Source organism: Homo sapiens, chromosome 5 (assembly GCF_000001405.40).
Source record: "Homo sapiens chromosome 5, GRCh38.p14 Primary Assembly".
In the NCBI taxonomy this organism is placed as follows: domain Eukaryota; kingdom Metazoa; phylum Chordata; class Mammalia; order Primates; family Hominidae; genus Homo; species Homo sapiens.
Window position 1 is genome coordinate 71,760,272 of NC_000005.10, and position 21,363 is coordinate 71,781,634.

Consider the following 21,363-nt stretch of genomic DNA (forward strand, 5'->3'; position numbering starts at 1 on the left):
CCATGTCTATGTCCTGAATGGTATTGCCTAGGTTTTCTTCTAGGGTTTTTATGGTTTTAGGTCTAACGTTTAAGTCTTTAATCCATCTTGAATTGATTTTTGTATAAGGTGTAAGGAAGGGATCCAGTTTCAGCTTTCTACATATGGCTAGCCAGTTTTCCCAGCACCATTTATTAAATAGGGAATCCTTTCCCTATTTCTTGTTTTTGTCAGGTTTGTCAAAGATGAGATAGTTGTAGATATGCGGCATTATTTCTGAGGGGTCTATTCTGTCCATTGGTCTATATCTCTGTTTTGGTACCAGTACTAGAAAAGCAAGAGCAAACACATTCAAAAGCTAGCAGAAGGCAAGAAATAACTAAGATCAGAGCAGAACTGAAGGAAATAGAGACACAAAAAACCCTTCAAAAAATTAATGAATCCAGGAGCTGGTTTTTTGAAAGGATCAACAAAATTGATAGACCGCTAGCAAGACTAATAAAGAAGAAAAGAGAGAAGAATCAAATAGATACAATAAAAAATGATAAAGGGGATATTACCACCGATCCCACAGAAATACAAACTACCATCAGAGAATACTACAAACACCTCTATGCAAATAAACTAGAAAATCTAGAAGAAATGGATAAATTCCTCGACACATACATCCTCCCAAGACTAAACCAGGAAGAAGTTGAATCTCTGAATAGACCAATAACAGGCTCTGAAATTCAGGCAATAATCAATAGCTTACCAACCAAAAAAAGTCCAGGACCAGATGGATTCACAGCCGAATTCTACCAGAGGTACAAAGAGGAGCTGGTACCATTCCTTCTGAAACTATTCCAATCAATAGAAAAAGAGGGAATCCTCCCTAACTCATTTTATGAGGCCAGCATCATCCTGATACCAAAGCCTGGCAGAGACACAACCAAAAAAGAGAATTTTAGACCAATAGCCTTGATGAACATCGATGCAAAAATCCTCAATAAAATACTGGCAAACCGAATCCAGCAACACATCAAAAAGCTTATCCACCATGATCAAGTGGGCTTCATCCCTGGGATGCAAGGCTGGTTCAACATATGCAAATCAATAAATGTAATCCAGCATATAAACAGAACCAAAGACAAAAACCACATGATTATCTCAATAGATGCAGAAAAGTCCTTTGACAAAATTCAACAACGCTTCATGCTAAAATCTCTCAATAAATTAAGTGTTGATGGGACGTATCTCAAAATAATAAGAGCTATCTATGACAAACCCACAGCCAATATCATGCTGAATGGGCAAAAACTGGAAGCATTCCCTTTGAAAACAGGCACAAGACAGGGATGCCCTCTCTCACCACTCCTATTCAACATAGTGTTGGAATTTCTGGCCAGGGCAATCAGGCAGGAGAAGGAAATAAAGGGTATTCAATTAGGAAAAGAGGAAGTCAAATTGTCCCTGTTTGCAGATGACATGATTGTGTATCTAGAAAACCCCATTGTCTCAGCTCAAAATCTCCTCAAGCTGATAAGCAACTTCAGCAAAGTCTCAGAATACAAAATCAATGTACAAAAATCACAAGCATTCTTATACACCAATAACAGACAGACAGAGAGCCAAATCATGAGTGAACTCCCATTCACAATTGCTTCAAAGAGAATAAAATACCTAGGAATCCAACTTACAAGGGATGTGAAGGACCTCTTCAAGGAGAACTACAAACCACTGCTCAATGAAATAAAAGAGGATACAAACAAATGGAAGAACATTCCATGCTCATGGGTAGGAAGAATGAATATCGTGAAAATGGCCATACTGCCCAAGGTAATTTATAGATTCAATGCCATCCCCATCAAGCTACCAGTTACTTTCTTCACAGAACTGGAAAAAACTACTTTAAAGTTCATATGGAACCAAAAAAGAGCCTGCATCGCCAAGTCACTCCTAAGCAAAAAGAACAAAGCTGGAGGCATCACACTACCTGACTTCAAACTATGCTACAAGGCTACAGTAACCAAAACAGCGTGGTACTGGTACCTTTGCCCGTCTTTAAATTTGGCTGTTTGTTTGTTTACTACTGAGTTGTTTAGTGACTTTTGTTATCAGGAATCTCTTTGCTTTCTCTAATTCTAGTATTTTGATTTCTTTTGCATGTTATGCATGATCATTGCAATGTACTGAATGTTTGTCTCACTTTCAAATTCATATGTTGAAACCCTAATCCCAATGTATTAGGAGGACGGGACTTTGGGAGATAATTAGTTTATGGAGCTCCCATTAATTGGATTAGTGTCCTTATAAGAAGTGGTCAGTGATCTCTCTTTTTCTTTGCACTAAGTGAGGATACAGCAAGAGGTCAGCCATCTGCAACCTGGAAGAGAGCCCTTGCCAGAACCTGGCCATATGAGCACCCTGATCTCAGACTTCAAGCCTCCAGCACTATGAGAAATAAATTTCTGTTGTTTGTAAACCAACCAGTCTATGGTAATTTGTTATGCAGCCTGAACTGATTAAGAAATAACTTCATTAAATATTTCAGAAGAATAAGTATCATATCTGTGGCAACTGAACCTCTGTTGTTATTTTCCACCTTCTTCTTCCCTGACTCTTTGCACACAGGAAGATGTTTCAGGACCATCCGAGTTCATATGGGTCATATGATGTGTTTTGGTGACACGGTGTAGTGGTGCCGGTCACCTAGCTTGACTTAGCTTGGGTCTAAGTGCTACCTTCCCTATATCTTGACAGTGGCTACTGCTGAATCAACAGGTGTGACAGTGTAAATGGCCTAAGGAGGGGTGGAAGGACCTTGCACTTGGCAGTTCAACAGACAGTTTGTGTGCAGTAGTGTAATGTCCACTTATTTCACAGTCTGGAATCTTTCTATGCTCCTTGTGGGGGCAGACCTCTTTCTATTTTCCGCGAGGACTGTGGTCAGTCTGCAGAAGTCCAGCACTTTGTTTCTCAGTCCATCCCTACTGATGATGCAGCCTAGACTTTGGGGAATGGTCTTTTCTTATCGTTAGTTACACTATTATTACCAATATATAGTCCTTTCCATTTTGTTGGATACTTTACGAGAAATTGGAAAGAGGGGTTTCAGGTACTGCTAGTCTACCTTGTGATGCCTTATCTGTCATCATTGGTTTTATTACTATAATAATGGAAACATTTACAATCTTAATGCCAATATGTCACTTGGAGGCCCAGGTCTAGTGCCCCAACTGTCTCCCCTATAGTGAAGTCGGCTAGTCAAACTCCACAGACACACACAGAGCATCCAGGCAGCTGTCTTGGTGGTGGGAAAGACCTGACAGGGATAGAACAGCAGGAAAAACTCTGGCTGGTCACCTGGTCTCCCATTAAGTATAAATGCACAATCAAAAATCATGCATTTTGGATGTAATTATCCTTTTAACAACAAGACTAAATAAACAGTTGGCAGAAGCTAGGAAGTAGAATGTTCGAGGAGGAGAAGAAGGGTGGAGCTGCTAATATATTTCCCTCACATGATAGGGAGTTAAGAGATACCAGTGTGAACCAAGGGATAAAGATATAAATTTATAAAACAACATAAATGATTGGTTTGAAATAAACTTTAAATTGTACTGAACATTTAGTTAATTTTCCTCTGCTAAACAGTGGTAGGAAATTGTAGTAGGAAGATCAGATTAATTATAGACAAAATAAATAAATTAGATTTCCTCATTAAATCCAAATTATAGTATAAATTAAGTACTACCCTGCTATATGATAATTTTTTAATAGACACAAACAAAACCATGTCAATATTTCCAGTCACCAACAGAAAATGGAAGCAGTTTTGAGCAGGCATTTTAGCTTTCACTATTCTGAAATATGTTAGCTATAGACTCTGTTTGCTGAGTGTAGTGATGTTTGTAAAATTTTTAATATATAATCTTTAATACAATCATGTCTGAAAGTACAAAAGCAGAGTATTACATTTGCTAGTGAGAAAAGGCTGATGATTATGATGAAAATGAAAATCAAGATAATTTTACACATTCAAAACAATGATAAAATGACAAATTCCACATGTAAATATGAAATAAATTGTTCAATAAGAGACTGTTCCTCATGAACAAAGTCAATCATGCAAAATGTATAAAGTGCTGTGCTCATGCAATTGACAATAACGAACAGGAAATGAATAAGAGTCACAGATGAATTAGAAAATTTTAAGAGCTGTCATGTTAGAATATTGTCAATAACAAGACTGATGTGCTTCTCTGGAGTAGGCTCTTTAAAAAATTCCTTATAATAAGATATGTTGGTAATTAGGCCCTCAAAGGAAAAAAAAATCTCTGATTTGTAACATTTGCCAATTTCTATGGTGTAAATACTCCCAGCATGGCTGATTTCAAACAATGAGCCTGACCTCACTAAACTTGGAGCTGGGGAAAGATGTGTAATAGGTTCCAAAGCCAGCTTGAGCTGGCTGCCACATGACACTGGACTAAAGGATTTTCTAATATACTTCTTGTTCTCTGCACTGGACAATGGCAAATCACACCTAGATGCTATTCTACTGTTTTTTGGCTTTTATGGTGAGATAATTTTTTTCTAGGCATTGGCATACTTATGACTTCTGCTTATATGTTTTATGGGGTGGATACAACCAAGTGATTCCCTCAGAATGGGAGGGGCTCTGTCCTCTTCTCTTACTTCCCTGGGAAGAAATTATTGGCCATAGTGGCATTTGGGGCATCTAAGTGTAACTTTTACCTCATTTGAGGTGGATTTACTGGGAAATTCTTTTCCTCTTTATTTTTAAAATATATTCATTAAATCAGTAAGAAAGCATAATTTCTGGACTGAGATTTCTCATTGGAATTTGGCAAACATAAAATGACCTCATCTCTTGTTGAGTTTAGTATAATTTATTTTCGGAAAGATGGGTACTCAAGAGCAATAAATAAAAATCACAATGTTCTAATTCCCCATGTTTCCCAAGAAAAAGAAAAAAAGTCATTAAGATCCCCTAACAATGGCCGTGGGATCAGCATCAACACCAGATGCCTATTGACCTATTGTTAATTTCAGATAGGGCTAGGAGTTGGTTTGAGAGATTACAGATTAAACATGGCAGAGGGGCTGCTGCTGCAAATATTGTTGCAAACTCTGCATGCCTTGGATGGTTCCAAAGGCCCAAGCCTCACTGGAATCTGCTTAACATTAAATTAAGTCCCGAGGTGGGGAGAAGGAAGACCACGTGTCTTAGGCTGGCTTTCCCAGGTGCGGATACTGAAGTTCCTATGAGAAACCGGTGAGGAGCAGGGGAAGCAGGACAGGGAAGCGGAAGTGTGTGATTTCAGGTAAAGCCCTGCGGGAGGTAGCTTTGGCTTGATGTATCCGAGGAACCCTGGTGGGTAAGTTACCCTGAGAGTTTGATCAGACTCAGGCCAGGGAGCTGGGTTTCATATTCCAATACAAGTTGATCATTGTCTAAGGGCCAAACAAGGAGATGTAAATTCCCAAGTGTTCCTTGTTTTCTGCCTGTTGTGGCAAAGTGGCCTTGTAGCCTGATGGCAGTCCTCTAAAAGAGCCACAGGTATGGGCTGTTAGAAGTAAAGACACACGGAAGCTGGAGGAGTGCACACACACCACACACACAGATCCCAGGAGTTCTGGTTGGAACACGAAGGTGGTTTACACCGTGGTTGCTAAAAATTCTGTAGAATACTGTTGGAGATCATTGAGGCGGTGAGAAGGAGGTGGTGTGGATGACACCTGCCTGAGGAGATTTTCAATGTGGATGCAACAGTTTAATTTTAGAAGATGCCTGATAGAGTGTAGGTAAAGCAAAGAGAACAGCACAGCCAGTTTTAAAGCTTCGGGAGCCCTGCTCACACATGAGTGTGATGGCAATCCATCCAGGGACTGCAAGCTTGGACCCTTCTTGATTATGTTTTACTTACTGACACACATACTTACGAAGAGCTTCTGGAACTAAGTAGCTGCTTCTTTGTGAGTGGGAGGAGGCAGGATGAGCCTTAGAAGTTGCTCCTTAGGTCACCCCTAATATTTACAGGACCTGGGGCCGAGCGTTCAAGGTTAGATAAAATAAGTTCTAACACTTACTTTGACAAATACGCTTTCAAAATAGTCTGGAAGGCCAGGCTCAAATTTTGAATTTTCAAACTCCTTGGAGTTTCATGCTGAAATGTGGTGGCTAGGAGAAGGCTGGGCCCAAGCTCATTGGCCCCCACCTGAGCCCCCTTCCCTTTCCATCACTGTCTCCTTCATTGCAAGCATCTTTGAGTACATGTGTGTGGATGCCCCACCTGGAATGTCCAGAGCCTCTGCAAATAGCTGCCCTGGACATTCTTTGGGCTTGGGAGTGTAAATACCAGTGGTGTGGTTTACCCCTGGGAGGATGCACCTATGGACAAGGCCTGTACAGGTCCTGCAAGCAGGCTTGGGGTTGTTTGGGCAGAGAATTCAAGGCTCTTGAGCATCTAGGAAGTGGTCTAGAAGGGCTCTGGGTGGGCACATGCCCTTGGTCTTGCAGATTCCTCTTGCGGTAGAGACAGACATAATCCAAAAAAATGTCAGAGTGGGGCTTTCTAAAACACAAGGTCCAGGTACCGGGAGATACTGCCGAGCGGTGTGATTTTAAGTCACAGTGAAGCTTATCATGAAGAACTGGACCATGGAGGTAGGGAAAGATGCTACTTCACCAATAGGTCATTTCTCAAGATGACTATCTGGGAAATAAACTGTGAACAGGACACATTGGTCTATCCCTTAAAGACCTGAGTGGATTCTTTGATTCATACTGAAGTAGAGAGAGAATGGGGTCAATTGCAAATACCACCTGCCTGTTAGCTTTCAAGGAGTATGGATAGATTTTGCCTCATTTGAGAACGAGTAAACATCAGCAACACATGAGCCCAGTAAAAAAATACTGCAGAACAATGGATAAAGGACAGTACTCTGGAACCTCATAGAAAGATTCTATCTCTGAAGAGCCTATAGGAACAAGAAGAAAATTACAGGAGATTGTTTAGAATCTGCAATAATAGAATTCAATGAGGCATTGTGTTGTGAAACAGGAACATAACACCATGATGAGACAACAGGCTGAAAGAAGACAGCATGTTGAGATATGGAAGGCTTTCAAGTAAACCAAGAGCACAATAACATGATCAGTACCTAACTGTAAATCAGAATCAGTTATGTACTGAACAAATTTGAGAAGCTTTTCTAGGATGCAGAAAAAAATGCACAAGCAGAAGGAAAGAGAGAAAATGAAACCTCTAACATTTGATTACTTTGTGTTTCTAGGGAAGACAGCATAACACATGGAATAGAAGCAATCATAAAAGATGAAATAAAACCTAAGTTTGCAGGCTGCAGGGGTTCACTGCATTTCAGATGAAAACAGAAGAGATCCACATCTACATATATTCAAAGAAAAATTTTGAATTATACAGATTTTTAAAAAGTCCTATAAATCTATTTAGAAAAGATAATTTATCTGTCAATTGCAGGAATTATTGAGTAGTTTTTTCTCCTAAAAGCACTCTGATGCTATTTTGGGAAACTGACTCCTCTCTACTTGAGTCATTACAATGGAACCATAAGTCAAGATATTTTGTCCTTTCCTGCCAAGAAATGGGAATGCAACCTGAGACTGACAGGAGTGTCTCTCTGGAACTGAAACTTTAGCAGAGCAATAAAATGACAGAATATAGTTGTATCTGCTCATTCATCCTAGTTGCAATGCCATAATGTCTTTTATCACTTCTTACAAATTCTAGGATTGGCCCTTGTTTCTTTTTCAAACCTGTTGGGTTACCTTTTCTAGGTTCTAAGTTCCCCTATATTCTGCTTATAACTTCCACTTTTGCTCCAGTTGGCAAGATACCCTAAGAGAAAGGTAGATTTTTGAGGAGCGGGGAAACTGGCCAGAATGGGGAAAAGGGGGAAAATTCGCTTTCATATTGCGGGTTAGTATCCCAACAGTGTAAAACAACTGTTACGTTCCCTCTATGTGCGCCAGAAGGTGGTGCTCTGAAAAACTGAGTAGCTGATGGCAAAAAATAATTTAAACATTCTGGAACAACAGGGTAGGATGGCTGCTTCTGGTGGCATTGAATAACATAAAGTAAGAGAATAGCAAAATCAGATCTCTAAATTATCACATCAGGCTAATTTTCTGTGGCCTTTCTGTTTGGCTCTTCAAGACTCACAATTACTGATATAATCATGTTGCTGTGGGCATATTTCATATGACCTTCCTTCCTTATTTTATTAGTTTAGATAAGCTGTGAGTGCATTAGACCAGACGGTTTAGCTGTTGGCCATTTTAATGATAGTTTTTTTTTTTTTTTTTTTTTGAGACACTCTTGCTCTGTTGCCCAGGCTGGAGTGCAGTGGCATGATCTTGGCTCACTGCAACCTCTGCCTCCCAGGTTCAAGCAATTCTCATGCTTCAGCCTCCCAAGTAGCTGGAATTACAGGCGTATGCCACTGCGCCTGGTTAATTTTTGTATTTTTGGTAGAGACAGGGTTTCACCATGTTGGCCAGGGTAGTCTCAAACTCTTGACCTCAGATGATCCACCTGCCTTGGCCTCCCAAAGTGCTGGGATTACAGTGTGAGCCACTGCGCCCGGCCAGAGAGTTTATTTATTAATTTACTTTATTTATATTCTACACACACACACACACGGACACCCCTTTACACATACTCCTGGGAAAAATGCAGGGAGCAGAGCACACAATTATGGAGGTTTGAAAATACCTTCTTTTTTTCTTTTCTCTTTTTAGCTACACCTGCTGGAATGGGAGTATTTTTAAATACCTTCTAATGACACCAGCAAATAAACAAAAGTTGTGTTATCTTCACAATCACTATATGCTAGAAGGCTTAAAAAACTTCAGTATCTACAGAATTTGGAGGGAGACAAGTAAAGTTTAAAATAAGCAAAGTTGTCTTTTGTGTGTGATGGCAATAGAAAGTTATTCTTAGATGTGTATGGGCGCAGGAATCACACCATCCACGCTACCTTCTTGAAAAAACTGCTCCAGCCAACCAAGAGAAGCAAACTGGAGAGCTAAATAAGGGCAAGCATGGTCTGAAAGGACTTGTGGTTCTCACCTAAGCCTAATCCCAAACCTAACTGTAACCCTGCACTCAGGACCCCTGTGGAGTGTTTATTTTCAGGGGGATTTTGCAGGCAAAGGTGAAGCTTGGTCCAGCAGTGCTTCCTCAAGCTGCTTCCTCACCCTGCTGCTCATTTCCTGTACCAGGAAATGTGTCTCTCACCATACCTCCTTTGCTCCCTGGTGCAGCTAGAATTTAAAGCTTTGTTTGGTGAACATAGGCAATTTGTATTTTGTTTATGTATTTGCAAACAAAAGTAATCTGTACAGAGGGTAATGATTCAGTGCTGAGAAATAAATACATTTTCCCCTGATTCCACCAAGCAGGATGCTTAATGAAACATAATGAACTTTTTTATTGCCAAGCCGAGTAATGATTTTCTGAGTCTTTAAAACTTATATTGGAGGATTTTATCCTACAAAAATAAAAGAATTAGCTTATAAGGATATGTATAAAGATACACATTGAATGTGACAAAGCGAAGTAAAACAACTTGAATGCCATCAATAGGGAGTGATTGAATAAACTGTGGCATGTCCAGATTTCTAGAATATTACATAGCTACTAATAAGGAGTTCGATTTATATGCAATGACCGATAGGAAAGGCCACCAGCAAAGTACATTGCAGAGAAATGTATATAAATGATTGTATTTTTTGTAAAATCAGAAAAGCCTTTTATTGGTGTGAATATTTTCAGTTGTGTGCATTCATATGAATGTAGAAAAATGTGGACACTAAATTAACATTTCTTGTTTTCAGGAAGGGATAATAGCAGGAGTGAGAGTCACGGGAAAGGCAAATGTTGGGTTTTTCTTTGATACTCAGGATTTTTTTTTCTTGGAAAATAAGCGGCAATACAAGCATGTATTGTTTTTTCAGTTTGAAAGAAATCTGATAGAGTAGATAATAAAGATAATTTATCTTGAATGAAATGACTTCAGTATTTTTTTAAATTGAGAAAGATGAATACATGACCCAGGGACAGAAGTGATGTCAAATTCCTTTGCACATCATTTTCTACCTGTGATTTTCTATCTATGATTTTCTATCTATGATGTGTATCTGCTTAAAAATTACTGTATATTAATTGTTCTCTACTTGATCATTTATATACCATATAATCCAGCCTTTATATGTGTGCAGTTTGGTGATTTTTACTATACTTGGAATGGTGCAACCTGCAAACATCACCACTATCTAATTACAGAACAGTTTCATCACCCCAAAGAGAAATCCTGCACCCATTAGCAGTCATTCTTCATTCTCTGCCCTTCCACCCATCCAGACCTGGGCATCTACTTCTGTGTGTATGGATTTGCCTATTCTGAAACTTCATATAAATGATCCTACAATATGTTGCCTTTTGTGTCTAGCTTCTTTGACTTAGCATAATGTTTTCAAGGTTTATTCATGTGGTAGCATGTGTCACTATTTCATTCCCATTTTTTTTTTTTTTTTTTGAGACGGAGTCTCCCTCTGTCGCCCAGGCCGGAGTGCAGTGGCTCGATCTCTGGTCACTGCAACCTCTGTCTCCCGGGTTCAAGCGATTCTCCTGCCTTAGCCTCCTGAGTAGCTGGGATTACAGGTGCCCGCCACCTCACTTGGCTAATTTTTTTTTGTATTTTTAGTAGAGATGGGGTTTCAGCATGTTGGTCAGGCTGGTCTCGAACTCCTGACCTCTTGATCCGCCTGCTGTGGCCTCCTAAAGTGCTGGAATTACAGGCGTGAGCCACCGCGCCCAACCATTTCATTCCTTTTATAGACAAATAATATTCTCTTATAGTGGCATATTACATTTTGTTTATCCATTCATCAGTTGATTGACATTTAAATTGTTTCCATTTTTTGTCTATTTTGAATATGGCTGCTATGAACATTTGCGGACAAGTTTTTGTGTGGACACATGTTTTAAATTTTTTTTTGTATATACCTAGGAGTGAAATTGCTGGATCATGTTAGCTCCATGTTTAACATTTTTTGGAAACCATCACATTGTTTTCCAAATCAGCTGTGCCATTTTGTAATACCACAAAGAAAGTATGAGGGTTAAAATGTCTTCATATCCTTGCCAACACTTGCTATTTTCTGTTTTTTTAATTGTGGTTATCCTGATGGGTATGAAATGGTTTTGATTTTCTTTATCCCAATGACATGCCGTTGAACATTTAAAATGTTCTTTTGGTTATTTGTATTTCTTCTCCAAATAATTGTCTTTTCAAATTCTTTGCCCATTTAAAATAGTTGAGCTCTTTGTCTTCTTCTTATTGTTGAGTTGTAAGAGTCCTTTGCTCTGTATAGAAGTCCCTTGGCAGCTACATGATTTGCAAATATTTTCTCCCATTCTGTGGGTTCTCTTTTCATTTTCTTGACAGTATCATTTGAAACACAGAAATTTTAAATTTTGATGTAAGTCCAATTTATCTATTTTTTTCTTTTCATGCTTTGTGTTTTATCTAAGAAACTACTGCCTAATCCAGGAAGATTTAGTCCTGTAAAATTCTTTCTTCTAAGAATTTTACAGTTTTAGCTTTTACATGTAGGCCTATGATCCTGAGTTCATTTTTGTCTTTTTGAGATGGGGTCTTGCTATGTTGCCCAGGCTGGTCTCAAGCTCCTGAGCTTGAGATCAGGGATCCTCCTGCCTCTCAGCCTCCTGAGTAGCAGGACTACAGGTACATGTCACTGTTTCTGAGTTAACTTTTATATATGGTGTGAAGTAGAGGTCAAACTTTATTTTTGGCATGTAGATATTCTGTCGTCCCAGCACCATTTATTTAAAAAAAACTATTCTGTCCATATTCAAGTGTCTTGTCACCCTTGTCGAAAATCAGTTGATGATAGGCATCCAGGCTTATTTCTGGACTCTCAATTAATTCTATTGATCTGTTTGTCTATCTTTATGACTGTACCATACTTCATTACTGTTGCTTAGTAGTAAGTGTTGTAAGTGGGAAGTGTGAATCCTCTCAATTTTGTTCTTCTTTTTAAAGATTTTTTTTTTTTTTTTTTGCTATTCTGGGTCCCATGCAGCTGTATATAAATTTTAGGATCAGCTTGCCAATGTCTGCAAAGAAACCAGGTGAATTTTTATAGAGATTACATTGAATCTGTAGAACAATTTGGGAAGTACTGCCATCTTAACAATATTAAGCCTTCCAATCCATAAACAGGGGATGTCTTTCTATTTATTTAGAACTTAAATTTCAGTATACAAGTCTTGCACTTCTTTTGTTAAATTTATTCCTAAGTATTTTATTCTTTTTGATGCTATTGTAACTAAAACTGTTTTCTTAATTGCAGTTTCATGTTGTTCATTGCTAGTGTATAGAAATATAGCTGCTTTTTGTATATTGATCTTGTGTTGTGAAACTTGCTGAACACTTTAATTAATTTTTATAGTTTTTTTGCATTCCTTAGGATTTTCTATATACAAGATCATGTTATCTCTGAGCAGAGATGGTTCTACTTCTTCCTTACAATTGGATATTATCTATTTCTCTTGCCCAGGCAAATTTGTGTTCAGTACAACATTGAATAGGGTGGTAAAAGTGAATATTTTTCCTGTTTTTAATGGTAGGGGGAAAGCATTCAGTCTTTCCCTATTAAGTATTATGTTAACTGTAGATTTTTTAAAAGATGCTCTTTATTGGACTGAGAAAGTTCCCTTCTATTTCTACTTTGTTGAATGCTTTTATCATGAAAGGGTGTTGGATTTCATCAATTTTGTCTTCTGTATCTATCGAGGTAATCATATGGGGTTTGTTCTTTATTCTATTAATATTGTGTATTACATTGATTGTTTATCAGATGTTAAACCAATGTTGCATTCTTGTGATAAACTCCACTTGGTCATGGTGTATAATCTTTTTGTGTGTTGCTGGAGTCAGTTTGTTAGCATTTTCTTGAGTATTTTTGCGTTTATATTGTGCTAGTCTATTTTGCATTGCTGTACAGTAATACTTGAGATTGGGTAATTTATAAAGAAAAGAGGTTTGTTTGGCTTGAAGTTCTGCAGGCTGTACATGAAGCTAGTGCTGGCATCCGTTTCTGCTGAGGTGCTCAGGAAGCTTACGATCATGATGGAAGGTGAAGGGAAGCCATGACAAAATGCCAAAAGCAATTGCAACAAAAGCAAAAAATGACAAATGGGATCTAATTAAACTTAGAGCTTCTGTACAGCAAAAGAAACTGTCAACAGAGTAAATGACCTACAGAATGGGAGAAAATATCTGCAAACTATGCCTCTGGCAAAAGTCTAATATCCCGCATCTACAAAGAACTTAAACAAATTTACAACAAACAAACAACCCCATTAAAAAGTAGGTAAAGGACATGAACAGACATTTTTCAAAAGAAGACATACATGCGGCCAACAAGCATATGAGAAAAAGCTCAACATCACTGATCATTGGAGAAATGCAAATCAAAACCACAATGAGACACCATCTCACACCAGTCAGAATGGCTATTATTAAAAAGTCAAAAAAATAACAGATGCTGGCAAGGTTGCAGAGAAAAGGGGACGCGTATACACTGTTGGTGGGAGTGTAAATTAGTTCAAATTGTGGAAAGCAGTGTGTGAGTCCTCAAAGAGCTAAAAACAGAGCTACCATCTAACCCAGCAATCCCATTACTGGATATATACCCAAAGGAATATAAATCACCCTACCACAAAGACACATGGCGTGCATATGTTCAATGCAGCATTATTCACAATAGCAAAGACATGAAATCAATCTAAGTGCCCATCAATGGCAGATTGGACAAATAAAACATGGTACATACAGACCATGGAATACCATATAGCTATAAAAAAGAATGAGATCATGTCTATTGTGGGAATATGGTTGGAGCTGGAGGCCATTATCCTTAGCAAACTAATGCAGGAACAGAAAACCAAATACTGCATGTTCTCATTTACAAGTGGGAGCTAAATGATGAGAACTCATGGACACAAGGAGGGGAACAATAGACACTGGGGCCTACTTGAGGGTGGAGGATGGGAGGAGGGAGGGGATCAGAAAAAATAACTGTTGGGTACTAGGCTCAGTACCTTGGTGGTGAAATAAGCTGTATAACAAACCCCCACATGTACCCCAGAGCCCCCTATATAACAAACATGCACACGTACCCCAGAACCTAAAAGTTAAAAAAAAAGAGTGTGTTCTTTAATTTTCATGGTTGTATATTTCCCAAGTTTCTTTCAGTCATTATTTCTAATTTCATTCCGCTGCGGTTTGGGAACATATTCCGTCTATTTTTAATCTTGTAAATTTATTGAAGCTCATCTTATGGCTTAACATATGGTCTATTCTGGAGAATTTTTCATGCGCATTTGAAATTATTTGCTGTTGATGGGTAAATTGTTCTGTTAGATCTAGTTGGTTTATGATGTTGCATATTCCGTTTTTTTTTTTTTTTTTGAGATGGAGGAGCACTCTCTCACCCAGGCTGGAGTGCAGTGGTGTGATCTTGGCTCACTGCAACCTCCGCCTCCCTGGTTCAAGCGACTCTCCCATCTCAGCCTCCCAAGTAGCTGGGATTACAGGCGTGTGCCACCACGCCCAGCTAATTTTTGTATTTTTAGTAGAGACGGGGTTTTTGCCATGTTGGCCAGGCTGTTCTAGAACTCATGACCTCAGGTGATCTGCCCACCTCGGCCTCCCAAAGTGCTGGGATTACAAGCTCGAGCCACCGCGCCCGGCCTGATGTTGTATATTACTTTGAAATGTTGGCTTGTACAATCTTGGATATATTACATAATTGCAATTATATAAAAATTCTCAGCAAAATATTGTGAGGAAACATAAAGATTTTAATAACTACCTAGTGAGACTATGGATGGCTTTCCCTCCTTATTCTCTTTCTCTGTATTTTTCAAATTTCTTGTGATGAGCATATATTTTCAAATAATGATAAAATAAACTCCAGTTTATGAATCAGTCAGGATAGAAGAGTACATCTGGGAAGGCTTTCTGGAGGAGGTGATAAAATTGTGGTAAGATTTATCCAGACATATTTGTTACCATTCTGAGCATTGTGCAAACAGCAGGTCCTCTGTAGCTGTTTGTTGAGTTGAAGATAACAGTTTTGTGAGGATGATTTGAATTTCCATCTGTTCAAATATTAAATATAAATATAAGGAGTTGACTGGTTACTTTAGCTTTCACACTAAACTTGTAGTGTTTGGGCAGCTCATAAGTAAAATATCAGAAAAAAAATCCCTAAGAATTGGAATCCTCAATCTTTGAGATGAATTTCCTAATATATGCCAATAGCCTTTTTTGCTGTTGCCAGTTTTAGTATTTGGCAGCTCCATAGTCAATATTTTTAATTTTATGTTGGAGGAATCTTAAGTAAAGTTTTGCAAAGTTTTGCTGGATATATTTTGCTAGTTGTTCAACATATTAGGTCCTTTTTAGTTCCCCCTCTATGAAATAATTATGCTTACTTGTTTGTGATTACATTAGAGAGTAACAAAAACATTTATTAGTTTATATCCACATTTGGTCTAAAGATTTGCAATGGATTGAAGAAGGTAAGGTTATTTCCTATAACTTTCAAGAACTTCTTTAATGTACATTTTGCAAAGCTTACAGAGAGTATGGCTCTGCTGTGATTTCTAACAGCTCCTTTTTGCTCACAGGCAGAGTATCTGTGGAATCAGCTTTTCTTGTACTAGGGTTGGGTTGTAAATTGTAGTGCCATCTGCAAATAGACTAATAACATGTGAGGCAATGCCAGTTTTTATGCCTTATAATTTGGGATGATTCTCATCACAACTGTGAGTGGCTCTATTGTGAAAGCAAAAGGAACAAATTGATTATAGTCTCATTTCTCTGTAGACTGCAGTCCAGACTGCAAAATTTATTTTAGAGCAAGCTTTGGCTTCCTTACACAGATAAATAATCACCTAAAATACAGTTCTTCCAAATCATATTTTCTTTTATTTCTGAAGAAATATTCCCTCCAGGGAGCTTCTACTGCGTGGTCACATTTATGCTGTTTATGGTAGTAAATTAAATTAAAATTTCCTTTATTTGTGTTTGCCAAGTTTCTGTTCCTAATGTCTGCTGTGTTGGGGAGTGACAGGAGTCATAAGACTGTTTTTGTTGTTGTATCTCTATTGAGTTAGAACAAGAGCAAAAAATAGACATTTTTCTATTTGCTAAAATGCACAGTGACAATCCAAACAAAAATAAAAATCGATGAGGATCCCATTTTGCCCCATTCTCTTGCTGCTGTTAAGATTTTCAATGATTTTTTTTCCGATTCCTTTTTCTTTGATCAGATATTGAAGTCAGAGTGAGAGTTTTGGATTCATTGAATTTCAGACAAATGGTTATATGCCTAAGAAAGGTAAATGACAAGTTCTTTTTCTTCCCTTTCAAATTCTCATGGTATCTGTTTTACTTACACAGGAGGAGAGAGAGAGAGAGAGAGTGTGTGTTTGTGTGTGTTTGTGTATTCGTATGAAACTAGAAGGAGATATTGTACATTGTACAGTTGAAAATATTTGGCCTGCAATTTTATTCTTTATTTTGTCTCTAAAAGTTTATCACAGAAATTTCTTTCAGTTGTTAACTGTGAGTTTCAGGATACCAAGAGGGCTGCTCCACACCAAAAAAAACTGATGGTTATGTCTACATTAAGTTTTAAGACTGAATGTGTCAATTCAAGGGCTGGAGGAGACATAGAGGTGTCCTGGGCAGAAAAATGATCTGATGCACCTTCAAACCAGTGTTCTTGAGATGTTTAATCAAATTTATTGAGAAGAAATGCTGATCATTCTGCCCTTGGTTTGTTTAGATCTGGCCCCAGACTTGCAAATTATACTTGGCATAGCAAAGATTCTGCAGTGAATCAGATCAGCCTCTTTTGCTTTTTAGTGGAAAAAGGAAAGAATAATATGAAAAACACTTATGTAACCACCACCATACAAAATTATAAAAGTGTTTAATATTTGGACATAATTGCTATATTCCCTCTTCCTCTTCTTCTTCCTCTACTTGTTTTTTTTTCTTAAAAAAGGAAAATATTACATGAAAGTGAAGGCCTATATATTTTCCACTTTCCCCAGCGGCAACACTATCAAGAATTTGAGCATCCATACATTTATACTTTTATGAATCTGTGAACAATATGCAATGCTGCTGTGTGGTTTTGAAGTTTACTTGAATTACATACGCTTCACTCAATACTCTGTAACTGGCTCTTTTCTCTAAACATATTTTCAAGCTCTACCCACGTAGATCCAAGTGGCTAATTAATTTTAACTGCTATTTAGTATTCCATTGTGCAATAACACCACACGCAATTTATCTACTCTGATTGATGGATTTTAAGGCTTTCCAAATTTTTCACTATTACAAGCTATTACTGCATTGCTCTTAATATTTAACCATTTAATATGATAATTGCTGATGATTTTTGGTAAAGACCCTTTATCAGATTAAGAAAGTTCCCTTATGGGGAAAGGAGAGAGGGAGGGTGACCAGGGCTGAAAAACTGCCTATTGGGTCTTTGCTGAGTACCTGGATGATGGAATCATTCGTACCCCAACCCCAGGGTCACAACATACCCATGTAACAAATCTGCACATGTACCCCCTGAATCCAAAATAAAAGTTGAAATTATAAAATAAAAAAAGGAAATTTCGCCTCTATTGCTTGTTGGCTAAGTGTTTCAAACTCTTCTTACAGTCAGTTTTATCTTCCTACTTGGGGGTTTTCCTCCCAGATGCAAAAAGCTTATCACAGATGTTCCTTCAGATTAGATATAATAGTCTGTCTGAAATAGAGATTTCATAAATTCATTTCATTATGCTTTCCTTGATGTTTCAGTTCTCCTGGTTGATTGGTGCCCTGGAAAGCTGCCCAAATAACCCATCCCTGCATCTGCCTCTATCAATTTGGGAAGTCAACCATTAGAGTATTCTTTTAATATCCAGTTTAAAAACTAACTTATAAGTTAAACAAAGACTTCTATTTATTTTATAAGAATTCTTAAATCTTTGGGGTAGGAATATTCTACCTAAAAACAATGCTTAGCTTAAACAAAAACGGAACCTCTCATAGAAAAAAAAATTGTCATCACAGACTGAGATATTTTTGCCCCCTAAAGCAAAAATGCTACTTACTTTGGACTTAGTATACTATTTTTAAAATTAAGTATAAAAACACATATCAGACCTGAATTTTAAAAAGTAGTCTTACTGTAAATACAAGAAAAACTAGATATTTAATAAGGTAAAATGACAGAATGAAATTATATATTTACCATATCTTCAGTACATTTTGTGCTGCACAATGCACTTGCAATTATATAAAGCATTCTGTGTGTGCTATGTATTATAATTGTTGTTAATTTGAGATAACTGAAAATAGGAATTGCATAGACAGTAAATATTTTACGTTTTCTCTTTGACTGAAAGTAGGTGACACTTCCTGTGGCTGCCATTTCAACAGTCCCCACTGTATGGCAGAAGCAGCCTGCTCAATCCGCTAGTATCCACAGCAATCAATATGGCATTCTTTCCTTTTCTAGGAGCCAGAAAGCCTGTGATTATGTGCATTATGTGATGGAAGAAAGGATGGTATTTAGAGTAAGTCCCTCAAGATACAGCATTGTATAGTCACAGTGATATTGACGCATGTATCATAATGCATATATCCTTCTATTTTCCTTTTTACCCCCAAATAAGTACATTCTTCTATCTCTACAGACAACTGTGTTGCACAAGTAACCTTCTTATATCAAATCCACTAGAACATGAGCCAAGATATTGTCAGATATTAAATAATAGGAGAAACATCATCATTCAGAGATGCTGCTAACTACCACTTAGGTAAACAGAAATGTCAGTTTGTGAATGCTTTTCGTATTCACTGCAACATTACTTTCTAAGGCGTGCGACACTGAAGGAATGTACTCACACTTATGTAAAGCTATGAAGCTGCCATATTGTGCACGCTATTCTCATGTATGCCTGCTGATGTTCAGAGATGGCTAAGATGCAGAATATTTCCAACTTGTATTGGCAACTCAACCCATAGTTGAAATGGCTTGGGCTTTCCTAAGATAAACAACTGTGGAATCGGGCCTGGCATTAGGGTCTTTATTTAAGAAGACACCCAGATCTGCTTTAGGAGCCCTCTGCTTCACATTTTCCTTCCAATGGTGAGCCATGATCTTTGAAATCCCAAATATTAGCAATGACTTAAGATCTTTCTGGAGAGAAGAGTGCTTTAACTGGGTTAAGTTTAGTTATCAACTTAATGCTTTTCAACTAGAAAAAGTTGCGTTTTTCCAGTCATAGGGACACAGTAGAGTGTGCTAGGTGTGTGGCAAAGCACAGGATAATGTATGTGACATATTTTCTTGGTGGGTCATATTTGGTCATTGAGTAATGTAACACATTGCTGTTAAGTTCTTACAAATAGACCTGGAATAGAATGCAACATTCACATGAATTTTATGACAAAATGTGAATCTTCAATTAAGTTTCCTGCTTGCAACAGACTGCTTCTTACCTTACAACTTCCAGATGCTCTGGGGCCACAATTTTCTCTCTTCTACCTTAGTAGACTTCTAGGAAATTTGGGAAGTGCCAAGTTAGCTTGGATTTATTTTACATTAGCAACTACCTGTAATCTACAGTACAGATAACAGTGGCAATGAAACAAGGAGGAATAAGTTTCAAATGGCAGGTTGGTATTTAGGAGGACAGGGCCTTGCATGGCCCTAACAGGGCACCATATTGAGAGTCTTGGGCCAGAAGAGAGACAGCATAAGGGACTGGCTGCCTAAAGAGGTCAGTTGCACCACGTATTTCCCAATTTGCTCATGAAATGCTTGGGACTCTCTTTGGTCTCTGAACCTCTAACTCTGGTATTTTTCTGCTTGCTTTGGTTACCTCCCTAATTAAGTGACTCTCTAACTGCAAAGGAGCCCATACCATGTTAAATGTGAATACTTAGCATTTGTATTCCTCCAGTCTAGGTCCTACTTATTTAGGATGGTCCTGCTCAAGTCTCAAGGCCTAGATTCGGAGAGAGTTAGAGATACTCTGGCACACGCACTTTTTTTTTTTTTTTTTTTAAGACACATTCTCACTTTGTCACCCAGGCTGGAGTGCAGTTGTGCAATCTCATTTCACTGCAGCCTCAACCTCCTGGGCTAAAGTGATTCTCCCACCTCAGCCCCCCAAGTAGCTGGGACTACAGGCACTTACCACTATGCCCAGCTATTTTTTTTTTTTTTTTGTATTTTTTGTAGAGATGAGGTTTTGCCATGTTGCCCGGGCTGGTCTCAAACTGAGCTCAAGTGATCCACCAGCCTCGGCCTCCCAATGTGCTGAGATTACAGGCATGAGCCACCACGCCCTGCCTGGCACACACTCTAAAGCCTTCAGGGGCTTCCTAACTGAGCTCCTTCCCATGGCCTGCCAGGCCCTCCATGCTCTGGCTCCTGGGTGCTCCTCATTTCCTGCCACTCCCCAACACTCCTGGTGACCCAGCCACACTGGTCTCCTTGCTGCTCATCGGACACATTGCGTCGTTCCTATCTCAGGGCCTTTTCCTCCCTGCTGCTTCTTCCAGGAATGCTCTTCCCACAGCTTTGAGTTTGGGTTGCTCCCTCACTTCATCCACACCCCTACTCTAATGTTATTTCATCAAAGAGATCTCCCTAGCCTCCCTTTCTGGCACCCCACTGCAACTCACTATCCTTTTACCCTGACTTACTTTTATTTGTAGCCTGTATCACTACCTACCATGTAACTTATCTATTTATCTGTTTATCATCTGCCTTCCCCTTCTTCCCCACCACACTATAAAATCCATTAGGACAAAATCATTGTCTTGTTCAACACTGTATCACCAGGACCACAGAGTGCCTGAATTATGGTCAGTGCTCAAAAGGGATTTGTTATCAACTGCGCTCTGTCATTTTACACATCAGATACTGAGGTCAGGCAAGGTATAAAGAGAGCAGGGGCAGGAGCAGTGGCTTCCCCTCTGACTGCTCCCACCATGCCAACCATTTCTATTTCTGAGCATGAGTAGAACTCACTACCCATACCCGGCCGCCCCATACCTGACTGTGTACTGCCTTGTCCTGGTCTCGAATCACTACAAATCACGCTTGGCAAGTTTGTATCGAAAGCAATGTTTGCTTTAGTGGGATCTGGCAAACCCAGGGTCCCCAAAGACCACTAAGCAGTCACCAGCACTGAGTTTTAGAAATGGCTGGCTTGT

General features: G+C 38.6%; 1 annotated feature.

Moving 5' to 3' along the window:
* Positions 18,471-18,765: an enhancer, noted in NCBI's record as "tiled region #1504; HepG2 Activating non-DNase unmatched - State 13:Ctcf". NCBI's record gives its function as "activates a minimal TATA promoter and a strong SV40 promoter by Sharpr-MPRA in HepG2 cells {active_cell/tissue: HepG2}" and the evidence as "EXISTENCE:reporter gene assay evidence [ECO:0000049][PMID:27701403]".